Raw genomic sequence first — 27,339 nt, 5'->3', positions numbered from 1 at the left:
GTTTTCCCAGCACTCTCACTCCCATTTTTTCAGCAGCTCAGGCAGCAACCAGTGCCTTGTACGATGCCACGACCATGAGTATGTCACACTGGAGTGCAATTGTCTGTTTGCACATCTGCCTCTCCTTCTGGAATATGAATTCCATTAATATCAGTAGAGTATTAAAATATGAATACAATAAGCGATGCATTCTGAGCGTTCATGGGCACAGGCAGTTTGGGTCCTCGTACCCTCCTGTAAATATGCCTCTGTCACAGACAGGAACGAGCTACTGTTCAGAGCTATGGAGCACCTCATTCCATGCCTCATGGACAGAGCAGCCAAGCTGGGATCTGAACCCAGAGCTATCTGGCTCCAAAGCCAACTTCTTTCTACCACTTCTTGCTACTGGCTGGAGCAGAACATACTACTTGATGGGGTCTCTTGGGAATTCTGGGTGGTATCCCCCAGTTTGCAGCTCCATCGATTGCCACTGAGTCTTCACCAGCTGCCTGGCTCTCAGACAGGGCAGGGAAGCCAGTGCAGGAGCTGGGCCAGGTGAGTGGGGAAAGGACTGACCCAGAATTACACACTGAATGATAGGAACCATAAACAGAGAGACCTGGGGTTGGGGCCAGGCTCACGTGAGAGATGGTGGGCAGAGGGGAGACCCTACTGCCTCAGGGCTTGAGGTCAGAGCCTGGCAATGAGCTGTGGGCTCCACCCTTCTTATCCAAGGCCAGGACAAACATCAGGTGATGTGTGGGGTCTAAGTCTCAGGTCTGGAGGTGGGCTCTCTGGCTGGGGTGAGGAGGGAGAAGGTGGAAAGCAAGGTGATTTTCCAACAGATGTGCCAGGCAAGGCTATGACAGCACCAATCAACACCTGGATCACAGGTGAGAAAACACCTCTGAGACACAGACACACACAGGAGAGGAGATGGCAAGGGTTCATATAGCAAGGGAGCTGTTTCCAAGAGAAAAACACAGGAAAAGTTCTCCTCTAGGTCCAATTAATATTCCCCCAGCCCTGATCTCACAAAATTCCATCATCTTCCACATACCCTGCACGGATTCTTTTCCTGAAAATCTCCTCCCCATCCTTCCTGGCTCTTCTCCACCCATGTACCTCCCCAGAATTTGAAGTCTGTCGATAGAATCGAGTTTCTCACTCTAGCATTCAGTAGCGACCTGGGCAAGTTATGGGACTGCCATGGGACTCAGTTTCCCCATGTGTAATGTGGATGCAGGAATAATCACAGGGTCCAAAGTGGTAAAGCATGGTCCAGGGCTTCATTCAACACAAGCTCTACCCAAACAGGACATCCTGGATCAGGGCGAGGTGGCACCATGCTTCCCGCCAACCCCCTTCCCTTGCCTGCACTCCCTCCAGCATTCCACTCTCCAGTCTAGGAAAGACAGCTCCAAGGTAGAGGTTGAAAGAACAGAGACTGGCATCTGGAAGCTGACTGGAGAGAAGAGAAGATTCAGAGATGACTAGCTCAGCCAGACATCTCATCCAGGCTGGGGTCAAAGTCAGGAGACCCACAAAGTGAGATCCTCCCCCGAGGCAGAGGACATAAAACTAGAGAGGAGGCTCAAGAAGGCTTCTGCTGGGGACCCTCCTGGAGAGGTTTCTGAATGGAAGCACTTCGGGGTTCATCCCTCCTATGGAGCCCCTGGGAATGAGGAGGCACAGCTGAGCAGGCATGGGTGGGGGAAGCCAGGAGCACAGCGGTGAAGAGCAGAGGAGAGGTGAGTTCTGGTCTCAGCAACACTGCCACCCAGCGCTGGGACCTCAGGCAAGTTTTCCCTCTTCCTGGGCCTCAGTTTCCTCATCTGTAAAATGAGAAGGGAGCTTGATTTTGGGGGTCTTCCTGCTCCAACTAACCCCGTATCAGATGCTAACTGAGCCTGAACCTGGGAGGCCAGAAGCAGAGGCCACCTTCCCACCTTCCTTTTGGGTACAACTCAACACCATTCCTTAGAGAAGCAAATCCACCAATTACTCAGCCACCAGCTGAAGACGGAGCTCTGTCTTTCAGGGCATTAAATTTGCCACCAATCAGCCTCGATGTGTGAGCCCCACTAAGCGCGGTATCGAGAAGTGGATCAGGAGTGGAGACGGATCCATCTTAACTAAGCAGTTCATTATCCTGGATGGTGCCATCACTCTCCCCTCTATCTCTGACAGCGTTTACACCACTCCTGTTCAGATACATTTAGCAAAATCGCGGGCAATATTTAGGAACCTGGCACCCTTCTAATGAGGTGATGACAAATAGCTCCTACACCCAGGAACTCTCCTGGCAACATCCCGACATCACTCCCCGCCCTTTCCCAGCTCCAAGGGGATGTGTCCAGAGGGCTGGCTCAGGCCTGGCCCCAGGGGACGGGGTCAGCGAGGGCTTCCATGAGAGGGATATGGGCCTGTCTCTGAAAAGAGACATAAATTATGTTAGAGTCACCACATGTCCCTATCTGCCCAGGGCTGAGGGGGTTTCCTGGGACGAGAGACTTTCAGCACCTAAAACTGACAATGTTTCTGGCAAACCGAGATGAGTTTTCACCCTTGTTATAACTTCACCGTGGTCCATGGATGGCCCTGGCTAATTCACTTAAACCTCTGTGCCTATTTGGATAATAGGGGTAACGATGCCTCCCTTGACTCGGTGTAAAGCTGAAGGAAAGTGAATGGTAATCCCCTCCTCAGAGCATGGCTGCTCTTGGGTTCTCAGACAATGGTGGTGGTGGTGGTGGTGACAAAGTATGCAACATGGGCTTCCTGCACCCATTCATGGTCCCTGATCATTTCTCTAATATGCACGCCCCTGGCTTTCTTTAGGGTCTCCAGGAGCTTCCCATTGCTCCATAGGAAAAGTTGCACATCCTCCCAGCAGGGAGATCTGGCCCATGCCTAGCTCTCAGGTTCCTCTGGCACCTCTCACTCATCATCCAGGGCCTGCTGCCTCTGCTCTCCTGCACACACAGCCTCCTCTAACCTCTGGGCCTGAACACAGGCTGTCCCTCTGCCCTAAGCCCTCTCCCTCACTTGGGTAACTTGGATATTTCCTGGGCATCCTTCAAGGATTCACAAAAATGTTACCTCCTCAAGAAAACAACTCCTCAAACTTCCATAGTCCTCAAAGCACTCCTGCCTCTCCTGCTCCTACTGCTTGGGACACCGAAAATTACTTGTAATGACATATTCAGGGTATGCTCACCTCAACACAGGCCATGAACTGTTTCTATTTGCTATGGTCCCCAGGTGCCTAGAACAGCACCTGGATCAAAGATGGTGTTGAAGAAAGAAACAAATGGATTCTACTCATTCCCTTGACTGTTTTATAATTCCCAGGAGGGCCCTCACAGAGGCACCTGTTTCTAATGGGCTTTTCCCTAAGCAGCCTGAGCCAAAGTCTCCCCCGACCTCAGGTGTGTTCTGAACCTGCTTCTCTGACCACATCTGCTTGGATTGGTGCTGCTGCCAGCTTGGAGTATCCAACAGCCTCCCATGAAACCAAGCATCAGAACTGCATCCAACAGAGGAAATCAGCACTGAGTGGTGAGTGGCCACCCTATCAGGTTCTCTCACTCAGGATGGTAGGATATGAGACGTTAACCATGCGTCAGCAGACAGCACGGTGGTAAGGGAGAGACTGTAAGGCAGACAAATCTACAGGTAGTGGCACTTAACTGAACCACCATAACAACAAGGCCCTCGAGCAAGAAACTTGGTGCCCACCTCAGCAGGTGAGTGCCAGAACCAGCAGACTCAGGGCTGCAAGAGGAGCTGCTGCTGCATCCTGAACAATATCCTGCTTCTCCTGGTCACAGTGAGCTGAGCTTTTGTCCTATCTTCCTGGCTTCTCCCATTTCCTTGCCATGAGGGGAGCTAACAAAGGAGCTTGCAGCAGATGAGGGTGTGGTTCTTCATGCTATCTCACAAGCCCAGATGCATGGACTCAGATTAGCCAGGAAACTTCACACTTAGAAATGCAAACATCCTCCATGCCCGTGCCTAAGTCCTGGGTAGGGAACCCTGCTGTAAGGCAGTCCATCACTGCCTGATGCACCTCTTGGTTGTCTCCAGGCACCACAAGGAAACAGGCCCTACAATGATGTGATGTTTCCCCTATTTGCCAATCAGGGAGCTCAGAGCACACCAATCTACTTCTTGGAACCTCCTCTTTTTCTCATGCTCACATCAAAGCAGCCAGCAAGGCCTGTAAGCTCTATAAAATATATGCAGAATCCAACTAGCTCACCCCTCCGCTGCTATCTCTCTGCACCTGGCCACCATCATTTGTTTCCTCACCTACTGCTCCATCTCCTCACTGGCCCACCTGTTCTGCCTTCACCTGGCCCTGTGTCCTCCCTACCTCTCTGATTTCAGCTCCCCTCACTCTGAATTCATTCAGTTTCTCTACTCACAATGAACGCTGCTGGCCCCTGAGCTTCCTAAGAATATCCTCACCTCAGGGCCTTTGCCCTTGCTGCTCCCACCTTCCAGAACAATCTTTCCCTAGATACCCACATGGCTCAATCCCTCAATCCTTTCTCTGCTCAAATGTCACCACTTTGGAGAAGACTCTTGCGACTACCCCATGTAAATAGCACCCCTGTCACTCTCTGACTTATTACCCTGCTTTACTCCTTCTTAGACGTTTATCACTGCCTACATATACTTACTTGTTTATTGTCTGTTGACATCCCTGACCTCCAACTAGACTGTACACCCCATGAGACTGTGTGTGTGAGTTTCAATACTTTTTTCTCTGTTATTCAGAGTGGATAATTTCTATTGATCTACCTCCAAGTTCACTGATTCTTTCCTCTGTCATCTCTATTCTGCTACTGAGTCTAGTCAGTGAGTTTTTTATTTTGGTTATTGTATTTTTCAGCTCTACTTTTTCAACTGGCTCTTCTTTATATCTTCTATGTCTTTGCTGAGCCTTTCTATTTCATTATTTGTTTCAAGACTGTTTTTGATAACTTGTTCAAGCATTTTCATAGCTGCCTCAAAATCTCTGTCAGATACTTCAACCATCTGTGCCATCTCATCATTGTAGTCTACTGATTTTCTTTCCCCATGTGAGTTGAGATTTTCATGGGTTTTTTGTGTGTGTGTATCAAGTGATTTTCATTTGTATTCTGCACTTTTTAAGTATTACCCAGTAAGACTGTAGGTTTTATTTATCTTCATTCTTTATGTGGCACCTTGATTCTAGTGTTTTCCCCAATCCATCTGCTAGTATTTACTTTTCAGATTTTTCAAATAGATGTCCATATATTCTGCCTAGGTTTTATATTTGAATTAGTGAAAGATGAAATGAGGCTTGTCTTCACTTCATCTCACCAGAGCTGGAAGTCCTTGATTTTGTGTTGTTTAATTACTACTTTGATATGATTTGGCTCTGTGGTCTCCACCCAAATCTCATGTCGAATCGTAATACCCAGTGTTGGAAGACGGACCTGGTGGGAGGTGACTGGGCAATGGAGGCAGACTTTTCCCTTGCTGCTCTCTTGATAATGAGTGAGTTTTCAAGAGATCTGCTTGTTTAAAAGTGTGTAGCAGCTCCCCCACTTTCTCCTGCTCCAGCCATGTAAGATGTGCCTGCTTCCCCTTCACCTTCTGCTATGATTGTAAGTTTCCCAAGGCCTCCCAGCCATGCTTCCTGTACAGCCTGCAGAACTTTGAGTCAATTAAACCTCTTTTCTTTATAAATTACCCAGGCTCAGGCAGTCCTTTATAGCAATGCAAGAATGGACTAACACTACTATATCCCTAGAATCTAGAACAGTGCCTGGCACTTAGTAGGAGCCCAATAAATAATTGTTGAAGGAATGAAAAAATGAACATGTGACCAGTGCTTGGCAGTTTTCAAAGGATTTCTGTAATTACTAGCTCATTGATTACCATTGCAACCCTGTCGGATAGTGTCCCCATTCTACAGGTGAGGAGACTGAGGCTCATAGATGCAGAGTGACTTTCTCACCATCACAGAGAACCAGGCTTGGCAGGCAGGCCCTTTGACTCTGAGTCCAACACTCTTCCCACCACCTCATGGCAACCCACTCCCCCTTGCTTCTAAATGGAGAAGCTGAAAACAGGAGTGGGTAGTGGGTAGTGGGACTACGGGCTAGGAAGGACACAAGAAGTCTTGCTGGAGTGTAGCAGGGTCAAGCACCCTGCTATAGTCACAGGACACAATGCATCCACAAGGTGGCAGCAGGAAGACAGATGGCTGAGGCCATTTTCAAGTTCAAAGCCAGCAAAGTCTGCAAGGAGGGCCAGGAAGTTGTGTTTGACTGAGAACGTCTCTGGAACTGTAAGAGACTTGTGGCTGGGCTGGCCAATTTGTTCCGCCACATCTCTGACACACAGTCCTCTGAACCTAGCTCAGGACCAGTTATTTTGGCCCAGAAGTGTCTGCCGTGTATCACCCAAACCATTACTTATTGATAGCAAGTAATTAGTGAAGACTGAAAAGCAACATGGGTCATCCATCCTTTCCTCAGGGGGCAGCGGGTATGTCTGCCATTGGACTAGGAGTTCCTGAGAGCAGGGACAGGTTCTCAGCCCACTCTGCATCTGGAAGTGCAGCAGTGGTGACAAGAATTCAAGGACCCTTATCTCCTAAGAGAACCATTGTGGATCACACCACAACTTGACCTGGGGCAGACGGGTGGTCAGGTGGTTGGCAGCAGCTCCACTAGCTGGATTTTAGGTCTTGCTGGGATGGACCATGACAGTCAGGGCCACATAAATTCCTCGCACCACCCTCCCCCTGCTGTGGGTCTGGAATTTATCTCCATGTGATAACAGGAGCTCCACGCACTACCACTCATGAAGAAAAGAGGTCACCCCTATCTCATGAAGACAAATACCCTATCTTGGCACTAAGGACATCCTCCCTGGGTTCCAGTGCTACATAATTACTATTGTAATAAATATTATTACAACAAACCAATTACTGCAACCATATCTTCTAGGCAGGTACAGAGAGTTCTGTGAAATACACTCTTCCATGCTGGACTAATGGGCACTCCCAACCATCTACCTCCTTGTTGGCCGAAAAAAGGGTGAGAGGTGGGGCCAGGAGTGGGCAGTGCCTTTAAGAAAAGAAAGCCACTCCATAAAGAGGGGGAAAGCTAACAGGTCATCAGTCTCTAAGACGGATCAATTCTGCTTCTCCAATAACTCTCACAACTGTCTTTTTCACTCCACTCTGCACCAATCTGGCCTCAGTTTGGACCCTCCACATCTCCTGGTGGAACTCTGCAATAGCCAGCTCACTGGTCTCTGGCCCCCAAACTTGTCCCTCTAAGGTACCCAGCCCCCTAAAATCTCAATGATATTTCTAAAATGCAAATATGATGATGCCACCTCTCTGGTTAATGCCATTCAATTTCCCTGCCCCATTGCCTTCCAATTCAGGATAAAGTTCAGACTGTCATGGCCAACTGAGTCCCTTATGAGCTTGCCTCTCTTTGCCCCTCCAACTCAATCAGTCTCACATTGTGCCTTTGCCCACCTTGCAGCACCCTCATCAGCCCTTCCAAACCCCTCCAATTATTTTTCCCTGTGCTGTTTCCTCTTCCTGGAACACCCTTCTCCTCTGAGTTCACCTAGGGTAATTTGCATCCTTCCAGGTTCAATGTGATGGTCACCCCCTCCTTGACTGATATGAGTCTGATACACCCTCTCCTGAGCTCATAGACCTTTGTAAACATCTCAGTCACAGCCCAAACACATTCCATTGTAATATAACATGTGGTTCTTCGTGTGTCTGTCTCAGACATCAGACTAGCGCTCAAGCCCAGGGACCCGGTATGCACCTCTGCATAATGCTTGACACAGGATGGGTGCTCAGTGAGTGTGCTGCACAAATAAAGTAATGAATGAACCAAGACATGAACACTGTACCTTACGGGGATTTGTGAGCCATGGAGCCCTGGAACAATGTGGATTATGCTGTAGCCCAGGTTGCTCATGTCCTGGCCTGCATCCAAATTCTTCTTTGTCTCCCTGTTGCCTTTGGGATGAAGTCCAAACCCCTGACCCCTATACAAAACCACTCATGGGTCTTCCTCCTGCTCTGCTCATCTCTTGCCCTTCTATCTTTTGCACCCTGAGCCACAGCCATCCTGACTTACTTAGAGCTCCCCAAGTATGTCAGGCTGCATCGGGCCACTGGGTCTATGCACCTGCCGTTCCTTTGGCCTGGAAGACCGTCACTTTGCCCCCATCACTTCGCTATGTCCTTCAGGTCTTAGCTTAGATGTCATTTACCCCAAAGACCACTCCTGATGTACACTCCAGCTTCACCTACCCCATGCCCAGCATTCCCAAATCTGGGTTAGGTGGCCCTCTCACAGCATCTACCATAGCCCTAACTCATTGCATGAGGACACTTCTTTTTGCCAGTCTGTTTCCCACAGCAGACTGGGAGCCTCTAACGGGCCAAATGCCTGTCTCTGTTACTACATTCTTAGTGCTTTGCGTGTTGCTGGCCACACTACTGGCATTGAGGACACATTGAATGAATGAATGAATCCATGAATCTATGAATGAATCCATGAATGAACTAATAAGTTCTACAGGTGATATGGTTTCGCTCTGTGTCCCCACCCAAATCTCATCCTGAATTGTAATCCCCACGTGTCAGGGGAGGGATCTGGTGGGAGGTGACTGGATCACGGGGGCAGATTTCTCCCATGCTGTTCTTGTGAGTGAGTGAGATCTCATGAGATCTGATGGTTTAAAAGTGTGGTACTGGCCAGGCGCAGTGGCTCACGCCTGTAATCTTGGCACTTTGGGAGGCCGAGGAGGGCGGATCACGAGGTCAAGAGATCAAGACCATCCTGCCCAACATGGTGAAACCCCGTCTCTACTAAAAATACAAAAATTAGCTTGGTGTGGTGGCGTGCACCTGTAGTCCCAGCTACTTGGGAGGCTAGGCAGGAGAATTGCTTGAACCCGGGAGGCAAAGTTGCAGTAAGCTGAGATCACGCCACTGTACTCCAGCCTGGCCAGCCTGGCGACAGAGCAAGACTCCGTCTCAAAAAACAGAAACCAAAACAAAAACAAAAAATTGTGGAACTTTCTCTCCCGCTTTCTCTCTCTCCTGCCTGCATGTAAGATATACGTTGCTTCCCCTTCACCTTCCTCCATGACTGTAAGTTTCCCAAGGCCTCCCCAACCATGCAGAACTGTGAGTCAATTAAACCTCTTTTCTTTATAAATTACCCAGTTTCATGTAGTTCTTTATAGCAGTGTGAAAACAGACTAATATAATAGGTATGTTCAACTGGCCCAGCCTGGACCATGAACTCTACTTTTGCTGCGGCTGGATACTTTTTGCCTTATTGAGCTATAGATTTCCCATCCTAAATTTGGGCCATGAAAGAACATCAGAGGGGGAGCATCTCACTCAAGATTCCTGGTTCTCACCTCCCCTAACAGGTCAGCTCAGCTCTGGGCCACCAGGGACCTCAAATGATTTACAGCCTTTGCAGGGAGCAGTCCCCGGTGCTTTCTGGCATCCATCCCCTGCCCCGACCTCCCGGGCTCTTTTGAAATATTCCCCCTCTCTAATCTCCAGCAAACTAATCAAATTCCCCTCTGTCAGAGGCAATAGATGTTCAAAAACTTGTAGGATTAATGTATTATTCATGATGTATGTATTATTTATCATTAGTTTGTTTATTTATTATTAATATGTGTTTCATTATTGATAATGATATGCTTATACTATTAATAAGACTTGGGAAGGCTGTTCTATGGCCCTTTGTAGACACCTGATGCTCCTCCAATTCCCTGCAAAGCTAATGTTGGTCATTTTTCTTCCCATTTTATGGATGGGTGACAATGAGGCCAGAGAAGGGCAGGACTTGCTCAGTCAGTCCTCAGGCCTTTGAAGTGTTGGGCAGGGAAGGTGATGAGACTAGGGAAAAGCTTCCTTAGGCAGCAGATCCTGGGCTGATGAGAGGGATTCCTGTGGGATGCAATGCTGGGCCTGCCAATTCCGGGTCCACCTGGGACCTCACGTTCTTGTGTTTGTCCCAGACTCCTTCACCCGAGCTCAAATTGGGATCTGAAGCTTCTGTCTTGTACATGGTCCTTGCTCTGTGCTGTGTGTGTGTTGCCCAGACCCAGGAAGATGGCCGTGTGCTCCCCACACTCCATTTCCTTTCCCTCCTAGCTACTCAGGCAGTACTTGCAGTTTGGCAGGGCCATGTGACTATATCCTGGCCAGGGGAATATGACTTTCCTGCTTGGCCCCTAGAAACCTCCCATGCTGCCTGCACACCCTCTCTCTCCATTCATCACCAGGGTGGGGAGGGCTCTGAGGACTTGGCAGAGGGTGGATCATAAGATGAAAGGATGAAAGAAACCTGGGTACTTGAATGACTGTATGGAGCCAAGTCCTCCTATGGTCCCCAAAAGCCCTGATATGAATAAGATATAAAATACCACTGTGTTAAGCTGCTGAAATTTGGTTTGTTACAGCAGTTAGTCTACTATTACATTCCACTAATGCATTGCATACAGTGGGAATTCAATAACGTTCTTGGTGGAAAAAAAGTGAATGAATGAATAAGATGAATGAAAAAGCAACAAAATAAATCAGTGGGTCTGGCCATACTGTTGCTGAATTGGCATCCCAAAGGAGGTTTCCCATGGCAGGATATCAGAGGGAGGGGACTTAAGGATCTGGAATTGAAACCCTTTTGTTACACAGATGGATAAATCAAGGCCCAGGGAAGAGAAAGCCCCGGGCCAAGGCCACAGAGCCAATTAACAGGCAACTCAAGACCAGGACCCCTGTCTCCTAAAGCACAGTCCTATGACCTTTCTACCATACTAGTGTCTTTTCCCTGACCGTCTTTCATCTGACAGCCTGTGGTCACCCTCTGGAACTTTCTCCATGTCCTTGGTGGTGGGTGAGGGGAATTCCCATTTTCTTAACCCTGGGTCAATCCTGCATCCAAGGAACAGCTGAAACTGCTGACAGGGAGGAGGGCTGAGACCAATGTGACCACAGGATGCTTGTGAGGTGCCCTGACAGCCCATGGCTGTCTTTGCAGTGCCCTCTCCAGGGCCAGGGGCATGTTGAGCAGAGGGGCCAGGACCCCCCCTGGGTTGGGCTGGTGGTGCAGTCAGCAATAGGGAAACCACAGGCTGAGGCAGGAAGAAAAGAAAGCAGCCCAGACCTTGAAGCAGAAGACCCCGGGCTAGCCCTCATTCTGCCATGGACACAAAGGGCAAGTCCCTACTCCTCTCTGGGCCTCAGTCATCTATCTCATCGGAAAAATGGGCTCATGGCGCTTATTTCTCAGGACAATGGTGATGCCAAGATGAGAACAGCAGGGAAGGTGTTCTGAAATGTTCTATTGGAGAAGTTGGTCTCATTGCTTGTAGGAGAATTGTCAGGACCACTAGTGCTGAGAGATTATAACTTTGAGCTTGGGAATCAGACAGACCTGGGGACAGCTTCTGACTCTATCACAAGCTAGCCTTGCAACCCTGAATAAGTCACGCCACTGTTCTGAGCTTCAGTTTCCACTTCTGCAAAATGGGATAATTCTCTTTACTTCTTAAGGCTGGCAAGGGGAGATGCAGAGAGATGGCCCAGGCAAGGACCATAGCACTGTGCCCGGCACCCGGGGGCCGTGCTGCCGCAGATGACCTGGGATTCACTGCCCTGCCATGCTCCAGCTCCCTGCAGCTATCCCACTTCTCTGCGCCCCTCCACCCCCATCAGCTGCTCCCAGCAAGCCTGCCTTATGGAACATTGCTGGGAAGCTGTGAGGCAGATGGCCCAACCTGTTGGCTGCTCCACATGGGCCTCAGGAGCGTGGAGGCTGGGCAGTCACCAGTGGCTGCTGTTTCGCTTTCTGCACTGAGACTTAAAGCAAAGCTGGCAGAGGATCTGGCAGCCCTGTATCCTCCAACATTACTCAGAATCATGAGGAGAGACGTGTGAGCAACAGGGAGGCATCTCTGACTCAGAATAAAATTTAAAATATGGATGATGGGTTATTAAGGAATATTTTAAAAGAAAAATAGTTATTACTCAAGGAATACAGTCTATGCTAGGTTATAAAACTGGTCTTAATAAGTGAAAAGAGGCAACTTAATGAAAAAAATTACAATTTAAAATAGGCCTACATTAAATAATAATGCCTCATAAACACAGAAGTCCTTTAGCACATACGAATTAATTGCTGGGCTCAGAAGCTAAAAGCAGAATAAAGGAATCCTTAAATATTTTGCCTTTTATTTTTCTCTCCCAAAAAGGCAACTCGCATTAAACTGGATTACCTTGCTTTGGCACGGAAGGGCCTGGAAATTTGCAAAGGGAATTTGCTCAGTAACAACGCTGTTTCCTTGAACCTATTGTCTTAAGACATGTTCTGAATGCAGCGTGGCTTTGCTCTCTGGATTTGCATCAGTTTTAAATGAACTCAGGTGACAGGGTTTTCCCACTGAAGAACAAGGGAATGGACTCTTCTTGCAGGATCAAAGCTCTTGAGTTCAGACTCTTCAAGCTGGGCAGCTTAGTTATCAGGGCAACAGCCCGACTGGCCCAGGGAGATTTCACATCTCCACTCTAGCAGCCGTTAGAAATGGTCCAGGGAAGGCCAGGCACAGTGGCTCATGCCTGTAATCCCAGCACTTTGGGAGGCCAAGGAGGGCGGATCACTTGAGGACAGAAGTTCAAGACCAGCCTGGCTAATATGGTGAAACCCCATCTCTACTAAAAACACAAAAATTAGCTGGGTGTGTTGGTGCACACTTGTAAACCTAGCTAGCTAGTCAGGAGGCTGAGGTGGGAGGACCACTTGGACATAGGAGGTGGAGGCTGCAGTGAGCCTAGATCACGCCACTGCACTCCAGCCTGAGTGACAGAGTGAGACTCTGTCTCCAAAAAATAAAATAAAATAAAATAAAGAGATGGTTCAAGAAAGCAGAGTGGTTCTCAACCAGGGGTGATTTTTGACCCCCAGGGGACACTTGGCAATGTCTGAAGACATTTTCTGCTATCACAACTGGAGGGGGGCTGCGCTACTGGCATCTGGTGTGCAGGAACCGGTGATGCTGCTAAACACCCTGCAGTGCGGGGACAGCCCCACAACCAAGAGTCATCTGGCTCCAAGCACAAGAAGTTCTGAGGCTGAGACACCCTGCAATAAAGGTAAGAAAACAAACTTCAGGGGGGTATGCACGTGGACTCAGGAGTTCCCTAGCACAGCAGAGAGAGTCTCCAACACCAGGACCGGCCGTCGAAAGCTGGAAGTATGGATTACTGGAAAACTTCTCCCCAAACGTTACCCCACACTAGCTATGCCTAACACCTGACATTCAGCCAAACTTCTTTGCCACTAAACTAGATCCACTCACTCCATGGGAGCATCTTTCCTGCTCTCTGGAACATATTTTGATTTTGCAATGCAAAAATCCTATGAGAAAGTCCCTTTACAGTCACTCTGTTAGGATGCATTTATTCTGCAAAGCAAAGGAGTCCTGGCTCACAAAGGAGAGTGTCTGGGGGGGATCCCTCTTCCCAGGGGAGCACCCAGCTTCTCTCTCCTCTCTAATCTCGTTCTTCCACTTGACAGGAGAAGCAATCCGGTCTTCATATTAATACTTCATTAAATGCATACATCCTACATCCAGCAAGAGAAACATCAGCCTATTACAGTTGCATGGTTATAGAGTGCCTGGATGTCACCCGAAGGCTATTTGTACCTGATTCACACACCATCTAACTTCGTCCTGCTGAAGGCCCAGGTGCAGACTGTAGACGTCTCATTGAATGGAGGGGTTGGGTGAGGAGCAAGTGGGCCGGGGTGGGGTGAACAGAAGATCATTTATTCCCAATCTGCAGGCTGCCAGATTCTACATGAAGACAGAAAGGCCTGGGGCCTCAAGGCAACGGATGCATGGACCGTGTCTGGGGCAGGTTTGTCTCCAGGGACAAGAAATGACAGGACCAGGGCAGGGCACACTCCACCAACTGTCCAGTACCATTTAGAAAAGAAAGCAGGCCTGGCCGGGTGCGGTGGCTCACGCCTGTAATCTCAGCACTTTACGAGGCCAAGGTGGGCAAATCACAAGGTTAGGAGTTTGAGACCAGTCTGCCCAACATAGTGAAACCCTGTCTCTACTAAAAAAAAAAAAAAAAAAAATTAGCCAGGTGTGGTGGCGGGCGCCTGTATTCCCAGCTACTAGGGAGGCTGAGGCAGGAGAATCGCATGAACCCAGCAGGCAGAGGTTGCAGTGAGCCAAGGTCACCCCATTGCCCTCCAGCCTGGGCGACAGAGTGAGACTCTGTCTAAAAAAAAAAAGAAAGAAAGAAAAGAAAAGAAGGCGGGCCCTCTGTATGCAGGTATTGGGTAGGCCCTGGGCCCAGGTCACCTGGCCTTCCTGATAGGAAAGGCATTGAGACAGGCCAAGAAAGCAGCCAGGAATCTTGTTATGTTACTTCCTAACTATGCTCTTGGACACAGGAAGCTTCAGTCTTTTTATCTATTAAGCAGGAATCATAATGCCTATCTCCCAAGGTTGGAGATAATAGCTGTATAGTGCTAATGTAGCACTCAAAATGTGGTTGATGCTACCACTATTGTAATGATTTTATTCCTTTTTGTAGGTATAATTTATAGTTAAATGCACAAATGCTCAAGCGAGCAACTCGATGCATTTTTACTTATGTGCACACTCATGTAGACACCACTCAACCATTCCCAGAAACCCAGAAAGTTCCCACCTTCTCCTTCCTCCCCAGTCACTACCTTCACCCCCACGATAACTTCTATGCTGGCTTCTCCATATAGATTAGCTTTGCTTTTTCTTGAGCCCACATACCTGGAATCCTGCAGTATGTGCCCCTTTGCATCTGGCTACACGTTCTCAGCATGATGTTTCTGACATTCCTCTATGTGTTGCATTTATCAGGAGTTTGTGCTTTCAAAAAAATGTGTCCTGGTTAGTATCTCATTGTGTGAAATATTGCAATCCACTTATTCCTTCCATGTACTATTGAAGGACATTCAGTTTGGGGCTATTATGAGAAAAGTCTGTTATTGGTATTAAGATATTATTCCTAGACTGGGCCGGGCACGGTGGCTCATGCCTGTAATCCCAGAACTTTGGGAGGCCGAGGCGGGCGGATAACGAGGTCAGGAGATCAAGACCATCCTGGCTAACATGGAGAAACCCGGTCTCTACTAAAAATACAAAAAAAAAAAAAAAAAAAAAATTAGCTGGGCTTGATGGTGGGCTCCTGTAGTCCCAGCTGCTCGGGAGGCTGAGGCAGGAGAATGGCGTGAACCCGGGAGGCGGAACTTGCAGTGAGCCGAGATTGCGCCACTGCACTCCAGCCTGGGAGACAGCAAGACTCCGTCTCAAAAAATATATATATATATATATATTATTCCTAAACTGAAGGAGAACTGCCCAAAACCCGAAACCTTTGGACAGCATTTTCCTTCCTTCCCAGGGGAAGGAAAAATTGCTTCCCAGCACATTCCTTCCCAGGGGAACTGAATTCTGCTCTGGGCAAGGAGATCAGGTGGGTTATGAAGAAGGTGAAGGTTGCTTTCAGCATGCCCACCAGGCCTCTGGGCCCCTTCCCTTCCTCCCAGGGGCCCTCAGGCATCTGTGCTATTCCTTCCACCAACCCAAACTTTTTCCGATAAATCTTCCCTTAGGAAAACTCCCCTGTTGGCCAATGATATGCATTTGATGTGGTTGTTAATTCCTATCTCTCTCCCAGGGGCATGTCAAAGCGAATTCCTGCCACTCACAAAAATAATGACACTGACTTTTGAACCCGTTTTTTTTCTTCCAAGTGTACAGCCCTTCTGTATCTGATCTTCCCACAAACATGTGGGGAGGCCAATACTCCTATTTACTGGTATGAAAACTGAAGCACATTGATTCATGCACTGGCTGGACAAATATTTATGAAACACCTGCTAGTTTCTGAGCCAGGCACCAGACCAGAACATGGACTGGTCTGGTGGGAGAGGTGTCAACAGGGAATCCCAGCCCCTGCCAGATTCTTCCTGCCTTTGCATCCTTTAGCACTGAGCTCCCTTGCATTTTACCAAATCCAGTACTTGCTTTCTGCATCATTAGTTTCAGCTCCCCAGTGATATGCAATTGTCTGCTGTTGTTTTAAATCCTTCATCATGCAAAACACTTTTAGGAATGCAGAAGTGCTTAATAAATGCTCTTTGAGGGAGTGCAATAAGGACTGGTATTGTAGTCCTGACTTTGTAACCCTGGATTTCATGGTCCATATTAGAGAGTCTTCCACATACCCAGATGCCTTTCCTGCAAGGAGAGCTAAACCATGCCTCACATGAGGTGGGCAGAATTCTAAAAACGATCCCCTTCCCTAAGGTTCTGCATCCTAATCACCAGAACCTATGAATATGATGGGTTATCACTCCATGATCATGTAATGTTACATGACACCCTTGACCTTAAGATAGGGAGATTATCCCAGTGGGCCTCCTCTCATCACATGAGCCCTTAAAAGTGGGAAGTTTTCTCCCTCTAGGGATGGGAGAGGAGGCCAAAGAGATTCAAAGTCCAAGATGGATTCAACATGCCCTCATTGTCTTTGAAGAAAAATGCAGGCAGTCTACAGGAGAAGAGAGTGACAATCAGCAAGGAAGCCGGGACCTCAGTCCTACACCCACAAGGAATTGAATTCTGCAACAACTTAAATGGGTTTGGAAGTGGATTCTTGCTCCTAAGACTCCAGATAAGAGCCCAGTCAGCTAATGCCTTGATTTTGACCTTGTGAGCCCCAGAGTAGAGACCTGAGTGTAGCCTACTCAGACTTCTAAGCTACAGAACTGTGAGAAAATAGACAGGTGGTGTTGTAAACTGCTAAGTGTGTAGTAATTTGTTACACAGCAATAGCAGACCAATACATCATGTTTATCTGAGATAGCAGCAGTCCTCTGAAGCATCAAGCAGATCATGCTGCTCCTTTGTGCCAAGCCTTTAGGTAGCTCCCATCATACTGAACAGTCAGAGCCAAAGTCCTCTCCATGGCCCAGAAGCCTGTGCGGTGAGGCACCCAGCTCTCACTCCAGCCTCACTTCTACCACTTTCTCAGGCCCACTCTGCTCCAGCTACATTGGACTCTTTGCTCATTCCTAAACATCCCAAGCTCATTCCCACACCAAGGTCTTTGCACTTACTGTTCCATCTTCCTAGAACACTCTTTTTTTTTTTTTTTTTGAGACGGGGTCTCACTCTATTACCTAGGCCAGAATGCAGTGGTGCGATCATGGCTCGCCGCAGCCTTGAACTCGTGGGCTCAAGCAATCCTCCCACCTCAGCCTCCCCAGTAGCTGGGATTACAGGCATGCACCACCACACCCAATTAATTTTTTATTGCTTGTAGAGATGAGGGTGTCATTATGTTGCCCAGGCTAGTCATGAACTACTGGGCTCAAGCAATACTCCCACCTTAGCCTCCCAAAGTGCTGGGATTGCAGGCATGAGCCACGGCACCCAGCCCCAGAACACATTTGAGCCAGCTGTGCACATGGCTTGCTCGTTCACTTTGCTCTGGTCTCTGTTCAATGTCATAACCCACAGAAGCCTTGACTACCCAGTCTCAAATGCTCTAAAATTCCCAGCTAACCTCTCTCTCTATCCTGAAAATTGCTTTATTTGTTACAGCACTACATCTTTGCCTGACACCATATTTAAAATTTATCTACCCCTTGACTAGAATGTCAGCCCCATGAGGGGATGGGTTTTGTCTATTTTGTTCACTGTAGTGTGTCCAGCAGAAGAAACAGTATCCAGGAATTGTTGACATTTTATAAGGCCTATGATGAGGTAGGCATAGTGTTAAGTGCTTTCTACTGCTTCTTGAAAATGACACATCAACCCAACCATTCTGTAACATAGCATTAAAAGAGATCATCATACAGGGCAAGCATTTAAAAGAACCCCGTAGGTAGAATTTTGAATCTTTCTCACGAATCCCTGACAGTTATCATTCACAATTTCTCCTAAGTCTGATTCCAATCTACATTTTTATTAGAATTCTTCATATAGATCACCTTAGTCCCACCTTGAGTCAGTCCTCCTCCCAGTTCAAGACAGACTCCAGGGTTTCAGCTGAGCTTAAAATCAAACGCTTGGGCAGTGTCTCTTGGCTACAAGACATGGCATTTTATTTGATTTCCAAAGCTGATTCTGCGATTACCCTCCTTCACAATGGGTTGTTTGAGTCATGCTCCGTGGGCCTCACTCGATCACAGTCCCTTTTCCATCCTTCTCCTTGTCAGCAAGATAAGAGGGAGTCAAGGAAACACCGGATGACAAACGTGTCCTGTACAAACAGGATGATTTTTCTCGCTGGAAAGGTAGCTTCCTACTCCTACCTGGCTCTGGAAGAAGAGGCACAGACCCACTCTTATCAATATTTTAATCTTTAATGACATCTCTCTCTGGTGATTTCAAGAATCATATATGTTTATTGTAGAAAATAAAAAATAACCCAGGTAATCATAAAAAAACAAAAATCTTCTCCCATAAACCACTACACAGAGAAAGCCATGGTTAATATTGCAGAATTCTCTCTCTCCTCCTCTCTCCTCTCCCTCTCTCTTTCTCTCTCTCTCTCTCTCTCCCCTTCTTATCTTTCTTCTCTCCCCCATTCCTCTCTCTCCCCATCAACTTTTTAGCAGGACTCTGTGGCCTTTGCATCTTTTGACATGTAAATGTAATCCCTCTCTGTCCTACATGATAACGATCTAAAACTTTTCCAGGAGTTTTTGGAAATCCTCTCAGAGGCTGTGTGTCCAACATCAGTTTATTTTAAACAAAAAACGAAAAGGGAGTTTTGAACACCTGAACTGTAAGGAAGGTATTTGTACCTATGGAGTAGTTTTTCTCTGCAAGTCATAAACTCCCAAGCCCAACAGGAAGACAGGATGTAGCCCTGAAAGGTCAACTCAGTCATCCCCCTGCCTCTGGGCTAAAACCAGGTCATGAATTGAATGTGATCCATTCTCAGGATGTTTCTCTAGTTCCTGCTCCTGCCCAACCTAAATCTCTCTTTCCAGGACTGAGAGAAGCCAGCTGTCATGCTCCAAGGGAGATCAGACACACACTGCCTTGTGTGTTTGTAAACTGGATGGCCCTCCTACTTGACCTAGCCTTCTCTAGCCCCTCTCCCCTTCATCTCCCCTCCACCTCTGAGCACACATTCAGAGACGTCAAACCAACAGATTCAAGCCATGGTAACCCAAGAGGTGAACTGGTGGCCAAATAAAACCAAGCAGCGCACGCCACACTCAAAGAAGGAAGATTTTTGTATCATCCATTTTCTGGCAGTGTTCCTGTCCTGGCTCGTTTTAGATTCCTTTGGATCCCTGAGAAGGATAATTAACAGCAGCAACAATGACTACTGCAGCTGCTGATCACTGAAGTTGCGAGCACAGGCTCTGAAGTCTGAGTCCCTGTGTTCAAATCCCAGCTCTGCCATTTAACCAACATGTAACTTTGGGCAAATGACTGCATCGTTCTAAGGCTCAGTTTCTTCATCTGTAAAATGGAGACCGAACAGTACCTATGTTATGGGGTCAGAGGAGCTTATGAGTTCATATTCTCAGAGGAGTGCCTGGGAGTAAGCCCTCCATCCCATAGGGCTTTTAGGATTATGGTGTTACCATGTGCTAAGCGCTGCCAGGCACATTCTGTCTGGTGTATGGAATACCCACAACCACCCTCAGAAACAGAGGTTGGTCACATCTTACAGATAAAGGAAACAAGGCTTAGAACAGCTCTCGGCAAGCGATGGCCCCAGATCAAATCTTGGCCAGCCTGTTTCTGTAGGACCCACCAGCTAAGAATGATTTGCATATTTATAAATAGTTACATTTTAAATGATATACAAATACCCACATAACAGTTTCGATTTTGCCCTGTGGACTACAAAGCCTAAAATGTTTACCATCTAGCTCTTTACAGGAAAATGTGCTGACCCCAGGCTTAGAAAGAACTAATACTGGAGGCAGGATTCTGACCACCCTCGCCCCCACCCCACCTGTTCCCCTTCATAGCAGACTCTGCTGCTCTCATTCTGGTGAATGAAGTGACTTCAGATTCAAGGATATACAAACAGTCATTCATTCATTCATTAACAATTAGTTATCAAGGGGCTGGTCACGGTGGCTCACGCCTGTAATCCCAGCACTTTGGGAAGCTGAGGCGGGCAGATCACTTGAGGTCAAGAGTTCAAGGCCAACCTGGCCAACATGGTGAAACCCTGTCTCTACTAAAAATACAAAACCTAGCCAGGTGTGGCGGCATGCACCTGTAGTCTCAGCTACTGAGGAGGCTGAGGCACAAGAATCGCTTGAACCTGGATGGCGGTGGCTACAGTGAGCCAAGATCGCGCCACTGCACTCCAGCCTTGGCGACAGAGGGAGACTCGGTCTCAAACAACACAAAACAAAACAAAACAAAAACAATTAGTTATCAAGGGCCAGAGGTGGAGCCAGTCATGTCCCTAGACTTGAGGAGGCAAAGACCTGCTTGTTGCAGCATCCCTGGAGCCTTTCCCCACCTAGCCTTGCAACAAGTGGGCTCAGCAGGAAGGACCATGAGGTTTCAGTAAAACTAGATTGATAAGAAAACGTCTCAGTAACTGAGTTGTGATGTCCTCTAGAGAAAGCCCACTCAACCACCCAGAGGCTCAGGGGCTTGCAAATCCCAGTGTTACCCAGCTAGCCTGATGCAGCCTGGCCACTCCCAACTTCCTTAGAAGTGTGTAGAGTGTCACGAATGGTGTCCCTCACCCAAAGCCAAGACTGGGATGGGTCTAATGGACCAGGCCCATGGCACCTTTCCCTGGGATAACAAGGTTTAGGGGATGCATAGTCTGTGCCTTCTCTGGATGCCATTTTTGGTGTTTGTCCATTCCCACAGCTTAAGAGTAGTCTAGCAGGTTTTGATGGTTCCAACCAAAAATAGATATACTGATTGATATGGTTTGGCTTTGTGTCCCCACCCAAGTCTCATCTCAACCTGTAATCCCCACGTATCAAGGGAAGGACCTGGTGGGAGGTGATGGGATTATGGGGCCGGTTTCCCCCATACTGTTCTCATGATAGTGAGTGAGTTCTCATGAGATCTGATGGTTTCACAAATAGCTCTTCCCCCTTGGCTCTCTCTCTCTCTCTCTCTCTTTCTCCTGCCACCCTGTGAAGAAGGTGCTTGCTTCTCCTTGGCCTTCTGCCATGATTGTAAGTTTTCTGAGGCCTCCTCAGCCATGAGGAACTGTGAGTCAATTAAACTTCTTCCCTGTATAAGTTACCTAGTCTTGAGTATTTCTTTATAGCAGTGTGAAAAAGAAGGAACACCCAGATTTAGGCATAAAAGAAGGGCCCCCAAAAGTAATGAAGGTGGTAACCCAAGGAAAGACAAAGAAGACACCTAGGAGTTTGGCTCCCAGAGTTTGCCTTGAGCCGTCCTCCTGTGCCAGTCCCAGCCAGCCCTGAGAATGTGAGATTGCATTGCTCATCGACTTTGAATACATGGAGGACTATAACAGGCTTATGAAAATATGGGTGTTTACAGCCTTATTCTCATCAGGGGAAAATTGACATTAGGAAAGTACATGATAAAAATCTTATGTACTTTCCAGAATGTAAATAGAGTTAAAAGTGAGACTGTCAGGAGGCAGCAGGGTGCGTGGAAGCAGAAATGAGCTGGGAAGGCTGGGAATGGAATTTTCCAAGTGCTTGGTGCTCTCCTGAACAAAACTGGCCACTTTTGGGGCAACTAGAGGGAGAAGAGGGTCAGGAACGGAGGGAGGACTGAAATCACAGATTTGATATCTAACTTATTTTCAGATGGGTTTAATCAAGATTAGAGGACAGAAATAAATGATTCCACTTGTAAGGCACAGGAAGGGATGCTTGGGCCTGTGGAACCTTCCCACTGTTGACTTTGTGGATGTTCTATCAGTACAGCTCAGACTTGGCTATAAAGGTCAAAATCTTCGGCATGGGATGGGAGAGGGATGCCAGTAACGGACAGACCCCCCGACACACACCCCAATGAGAGGGCAGAGGAGGCAAAGTCCAGAGATACCTGTTCCTTGCTATTTCCCTTAGAAGGGAGAGCAGGTGGGTCCCAGCTCCCAGATATCCTGGGGCCATGCCTGGTGTCCCTCACCAGCGTGAAGGAGGAATCAGGACCAGGAGGCTGAGTTGACATGGGTGCTGTCCATCCAGCCAGGCTAGAGGTTCCTCTGGGGAATTTCTGGATGATAGACTTCCACAGCTCCTTGAAATTCCAGTGCTCGTTGTGTCCCTCCGTGGTGAGGCTTTCCTTCAGCAAAAACTTTGAAATGTGTTTGCTGCTGGATTAGCCCTTGGAGCCACGATTCTGCTCCTACCATGTCTCAGTTCCACAATCTTCACTGGCTCCCCAGTGCTGGCACAATCAAGTCTGCACTTCTTAGCCTGGCCATTCTGAGTGTCAGCCCGGCTGCCCTTAAAGCCTGACCTCCAGGGAGCTCCATCCTTCCCTGAGCACGCGCTCAGTCCCTGACTCAGTCTCCCAGGGCTGCTCACCCATGCTGAGACAGCTCAGGGGCGCTCCTTCCTCCAGTCCCCAGCTCAAGCTCCTTCCTCTACCCAGAATGCCTTCTTTACCCTTCCAGGACCAGCTCAGTGGGTCTCTCGAGAGCCTTCCTATTTTCACTTCCACTTAGTGAGAAAGGGACACTATCTTTGCTTCCATAAATGCTTATCTCCCTAGTGTGGCCCCTGTCTCATGTAAACACTATTATCTGTTTACATCCATCCCTAGCACAGAACAGGATAGCGCAGCAGAAGAGCAAAGGTGGACCCCTCCTCATTATCCCTCCTCATGGGGCTGGGGTAAAATCAACGACATAAATCACGTGAAACTCAAAGCAGGGTCAGCTCAGTGACAGAGGCTGATCCAAGGGCAACGTGGATCCCGGCCACTCAAGTTAGGAAGACTTAGCCAAAAGGTAGCATTGTAGGGTGAGCTATATCCCTCTAAAAGATACATTGAAATCCTAAGCCCTACACCTGTAACTGTGGCCTCATTTGGAAATAGGGTCTTTGCAGACATAATCAAGTTAAGATGAAGAAGGGCCCGAATTGAATATAATGTTCTTATAAGAAGAGCGGAATTTGGACACAGAAGCAGACACAGAGGGAGCAGGCCACGTGATGGCAGAGGCAGAGACCGGAGGGATGCAGGCACAAGCCCAGGAACACCAAACACCAAGAATTGCAGCAGCCACCAGCAGCTAGGAAGGCACCAGGATGGATTATTCCCTGCAGGAATCAGAGGGAGTGTGGCCCACCCACACCTCGATCTTGGACTTCTAGCCTCCAGAAGTGTGAAACAATAACTTCTGCTGTTTTAAGTCACTGTTACAGCAGTCCTAGGAAACTAATTCAGGTAGGAAGCAAAGGGGGGCGCTGTCTACCTACTAAGCCCCAGGCATTTCCCTAGATAATTTCACTCACATAACCTCACTTAAACTCTCTTTGTCAGGAGACAGATAGGCTTGTTTCTTATTTTATAACCGAGGTGACCAAGATGCAGAGAATGGAAGTGACCATCATGCAGTTGGGAAGACGCAAGAGCCCGGATGTGAACCAAGAACTAAGGCAAGCCTTCCCACTGTCCCACAATGGGCAGAATCTCAAGGGTCTTCCAGCCAGCAGGAGAAGCAGCAGAACCCATGAGTGGGGAAGGAGCAGGGGCTTGGGGTCTTTGTCTGGATCCCCAGAGCCCCCTTGGACCCGCTCCTACCCATCCCTCCTGTTACCCTGCTCACACAATGCAATTGCCTAGGGATGGATTCTCACGGGGGTAGGGGGGGGCCGGGAGCAGCTTCCCTAGTGTGAGCCCCCAAGCAAGAGCACCTTATCTGACGAAGCGGGGAGGGGCTCTGAGCTCCCGATAAAACTTTGCCCATTTGTTAACATGTGTTCCCAGCTGAGATTACCAGGCGTGGAGCAGACAATGGAAGCGATTAAATAAAGTCGGAGCTTTGCAGCCGAGGTGAGAGATAGGGAGGGAGGGAGACCAGGGAAGGGGGAGGGGGGCTGCCACCTGCTCACTCTGGGCTCTATTACCGCAGCCACCGAGGAGAGGCACAGGCACAGCTTCCCATCACGCACATGCAGATGGCCAAAGAGGAGGCAGTGGAGTCACCAGGGCTGGGAAGCTGAGAACTGTGGAGTCGGATGCCTGGATTGACAGGGCCTCTGTGAGGGCACTTCAAGAGCCGGTGCCCAGGATCCGAGGGGCGCCTGGATGTCCGTGTATCCAACAGCAGTCAAATCACAGTAGCCGTTGTTGTAATGGGGATATCTGAGGAGTTTACTCTGAGCCAGGTGCATCTTTTGTCTTACTGAATCTCCACCATGAGAGGTGAGTTCTAGCACTATCCTCATTTTACAGATGATGCGATAGAGGCTGGGAGAGGTCGAAACACTGAAACACATCCCCTGGGTGGTGAGTGGCAGGGACAGTATTTGAACTCAGGGCACGCCACTGATGGGTGCAGGGGCCCCAACCCACTCTTTATTCACCAGAGCCACCCTCCCTTCTATCTGTTTAATGTACCGGGGGGCCTTGCAAAACTGAGTATTTTTTAAAAGTTTGCTTTAGAAGGACATGGGCCTAATTCATTCAACCCATTTACGGGCACCAAAGCACCCCAGTCCAAGGCCCGCTGGGGAAGGGGGACCAGTGAGATGGGCAGGGGAGAAAGACAGAGAGTCCCAGGGGGCCACCCTCATCTGGCCCATGGAACCTGCCACCATCAAGAAGTCTTGCTTTGGGGGGGCATCTGGGCAGAGGGGGCAGGGGAGAGGTCTTCCTATTGTCCTTTTATTCGAATTATTTGTAAATAACAAAGCCTATTACTCCCACGACCTTATTAGATCCTCAAAACACCCCAGCAGTAAAGTAGGGCCAGGGGGGTGGTGACAGAAGTGGCGTCACTCTGCCATCGGATGACCCAGCCCAGTTCCACCTGGGGCCCAGTGTGGAACTGCTGCAATACTCTGCTCTCTCTCTCTCTCTTGATCCCATACATTTTATACTGCCGGCCTCCTCCGTAATTTTAGAGTTTTTCCCCAGCCAGTTTTATTACAGCATTAAGAAAGCGCCTGGCAGGCCTTGCCTAACATCACAGACTCATCTGGAGACCGTCTGTATTTTTTAAGGTCTGGCTACGTGGTTTTTCTATGCTTTATAGTGAAGAAAATAAAAACGGGGGAGATGAATGACGACGATCCCTTGGCACCCTGGGAGCCTGGCTCCTGGGCTCACTCAGTTCTTACAATGACAGCTGCTCCCCTCTCTGCATGGGCAGGGCCACCCTACGGGCCCATGTGGGTCCCGGCAGCTATAAATGGCATCTCAGGAAGAGAGGCAGGCAGGACCCAGAGCTGCCACTTATGACTTGGGCAGGTCCTACTCCCTGGAGCTGGCTCTGGGCACTCTCCCCCAAGTTCTGATCTCCAGTGGGCTCTTACTCTGGTATGGCCACTCAGAAAATGGCATTGTCCAGTCAACCCCGTGTTCACTTCGAGACAGATTATACTGTGTACATCATCTTTATAAATTTTCAAAGGATTGCAAAATATCAGATACACTTGAAAACTGAAATTTTATTTAAAATATCTTTCTGCAAAGAGCCAGAGAAATGTCTACAAGTGATTAAGAAACTGCTGTGTGCCAAGCATTTTAAGCACATTGAATTTTTAAATCCCCATCCCCTCTACACAGATGAAGAAACCAAGCCTTGGAGAGGTTACGACACCTTTCCAAGAATCCACTGGATTCTTATAGAAGCCAGTGGCCACGTCAGCACAGCTAAGACACAGTCACAGTGACAGGAGCTGACACTGGCTGAAGACTTACTCTTGTTCCAGGCATCATTCTAAGCCCTTGGCTTTCACCATAGCCCCAATATGAGGTAGTCTTGGTTATTTCCCCAGTTGATAGATGAGGAAACTTAGGCTCAGATAGATAAAGTCACATACCCAAGGTCACCCAGCTGTTGAGTGGCAGAGCCAAGGTTTGAACCCACAGGCTGCCTCCAGAGCCTGGATTCAAGGCCCTCTCTGGAGCATTCCAACGTCTGCCTTTGTCCTTCACACCCAGTGACTTCTCTGTAGGTACCAGGCAAGTTTCTGCTGCCTGGGAATCACTGAGGATTTGTCAGCACCAGACAAATGCAGTTATTAGAACATCCAGCAGGGTGAATGGCTTAGCTGAAAACAGCATTTGTGGGATGATAATTATGGAGCGAGATTTCCAAGGACCAGAAAAGTTAAGTAACTTATCCAAGGTCACACAGCTTACTGTGGGCTGATGGAGACCTAGAATCCGAGGTCAGCCTCCCTCTTGGACTCTTGTACCTTGTGCATCCAAGGGACCCCTCCTGGGTCCAGACACCCCACAGGCTTGCCATCTGGGGGCCACAGCACCTCTCAGCACCAGGCTTCTCTGCTCTCCAGGCACTGACAAGACTGGGTTGCCCGCCCATGACCTTGTGAAGGGACAGGAGTGGCTTTAGCAATCCAAACACACTCCTTCCTCGCATCGAGACACCCGAATGCTGAGTGATTTGTATGCTCTGAGCACGTCACCTCCTTTCAGGAGACAGAGAGGCTGCCTGAAAAGTCATTTTTCAGCATTTGACACAAAGTCTCTTTCGCTCTCTAGCGAAGCCAGATAACCATCAGCAGCCGGGCCGATTAGAAAAAATATATACTTGGTACCGGGAAGCCGGGAAAAGAGAGGAAGCCAGCTCGTCCGTCTTCCTTCACTCATCTGGACAGGGGCACGGGGCGGCTCCCCCACTTGTCTCTGTGGCTTGCATAGAAGGGTGTCTTACTGGAGATATCACCTTCCTGGGAAAACAGCATCTTCCAGAGGTGGCAGCAGAGGCCTGGGCTTGAGAGGCTCAAGATCATGTGTTCAAGTCCCAGCTCCGTCACTGCCTAGGGTTGTGACCTTGGGCAAGTCACTTCCCTGCTTGGAGCCTCAGTTTCTTCGTCTATCAAACAGATATAAGAAGAGCACCACCTCATGGGGCCATTATGTGGCTCTGATGAGATAAAACAGAGCACTTCTAACAGACTCTGTCAACTAGACAGTGCTCAATAAAGGTCAGCCTTGACACGGATAATTTTTCAGGGGGTACCTTCAGGACCCTGTGGAGCCCCCTGCTAAGCTTTGGCAGTGAGGACAGACCCTGGGCTCTCCTGCTGACATCTAAGTATGTTGGTTGTTGAG

At 48.5% G+C, this 27,339-nt stretch overlaps 1 protein-coding gene across 3 annotated transcripts in view, besides 4 other annotated features; it reads right to left on the bottom strand.

The window, feature by feature from the left end:
• Positions 1 to 27,339, bottom strand: part of IGSF21 (immunoglobin superfamily member 21) — a 270,686-nt gene that overhangs the window by 154,685 nt on the left and 88,662 nt on the right. Inside the window, exon 1 of one of the 3 annotated variants that reach the window (XM_017002604.3) lies at positions 14,857 to 15,145. The exons of the other annotated variants lie outside the window; for them this stretch is intronic. Coding sequence (XP_016858093.1) covers positions 14,857 to 14,908 — 52 coding nt within the window. The 5' untranslated portion in view covers positions 14,909 to 15,145. Of the gene's footprint in view, positions 1 to 14,856; positions 15,146 to 27,339 lie in introns of those variants that run through there. 3 annotated transcript variants of the gene reach the window in all.
• Positions 11,409 to 12,232: an enhancer, noted in NCBI's record as "H3K4me1 hESC enhancer chr1:18538061-18538884 (GRCh37/hg19 assembly coordinates)". NCBI's record gives its function as "activates a minimal SCP1, AML or CMV promoter by ChIP-STARR-seq in primed H9 embryonic stem cells {active_cell/tissue: H9 hESC(primed)}" and the evidence as "EXISTENCE:reporter gene assay evidence [ECO:0000049][PMID:30033119]".
• Positions 22,375 to 22,875: an enhancer, noted in NCBI's record as "H3K27ac hESC enhancer chr1:18527418-18527918 (GRCh37/hg19 assembly coordinates)". NCBI's record gives its function as "activates a minimal SCP1, AML or CMV promoter by ChIP-STARR-seq in naive H9 embryonic stem cells {active_cell/tissue: H9 hESC(naive)}" and the evidence as "EXISTENCE:reporter gene assay evidence [ECO:0000049][PMID:30033119]".
• Positions 23,544 to 24,044: an enhancer, noted in NCBI's record as "H3K4me1 hESC enhancer chr1:18526249-18526749 (GRCh37/hg19 assembly coordinates)". NCBI's record gives its function as "activates a minimal SCP1, AML or CMV promoter by ChIP-STARR-seq in primed H9 embryonic stem cells {active_cell/tissue: H9 hESC(primed)}" and the evidence as "EXISTENCE:reporter gene assay evidence [ECO:0000049][PMID:30033119]".
• Positions 24,045 to 24,545: an enhancer, noted in NCBI's record as "H3K4me1 hESC enhancer chr1:18525748-18526248 (GRCh37/hg19 assembly coordinates)". NCBI's record gives its function as "activates a minimal SCP1, AML or CMV promoter by ChIP-STARR-seq in primed H9 embryonic stem cells {active_cell/tissue: H9 hESC(primed)}" and the evidence as "EXISTENCE:reporter gene assay evidence [ECO:0000049][PMID:30033119]".

Source organism: Homo sapiens, chromosome 1, assembly GCF_000001405.40.
Source record: "Homo sapiens chromosome 1, GRCh38.p14 Primary Assembly".
NCBI lineage: Eukaryota > Metazoa > Chordata > Mammalia > Primates > Hominidae > Homo > Homo sapiens.
The sequence above is the reverse complement of the archived record's forward strand: the minus strand, read 5'-3'. Positions and strand labels throughout refer to the sequence as shown.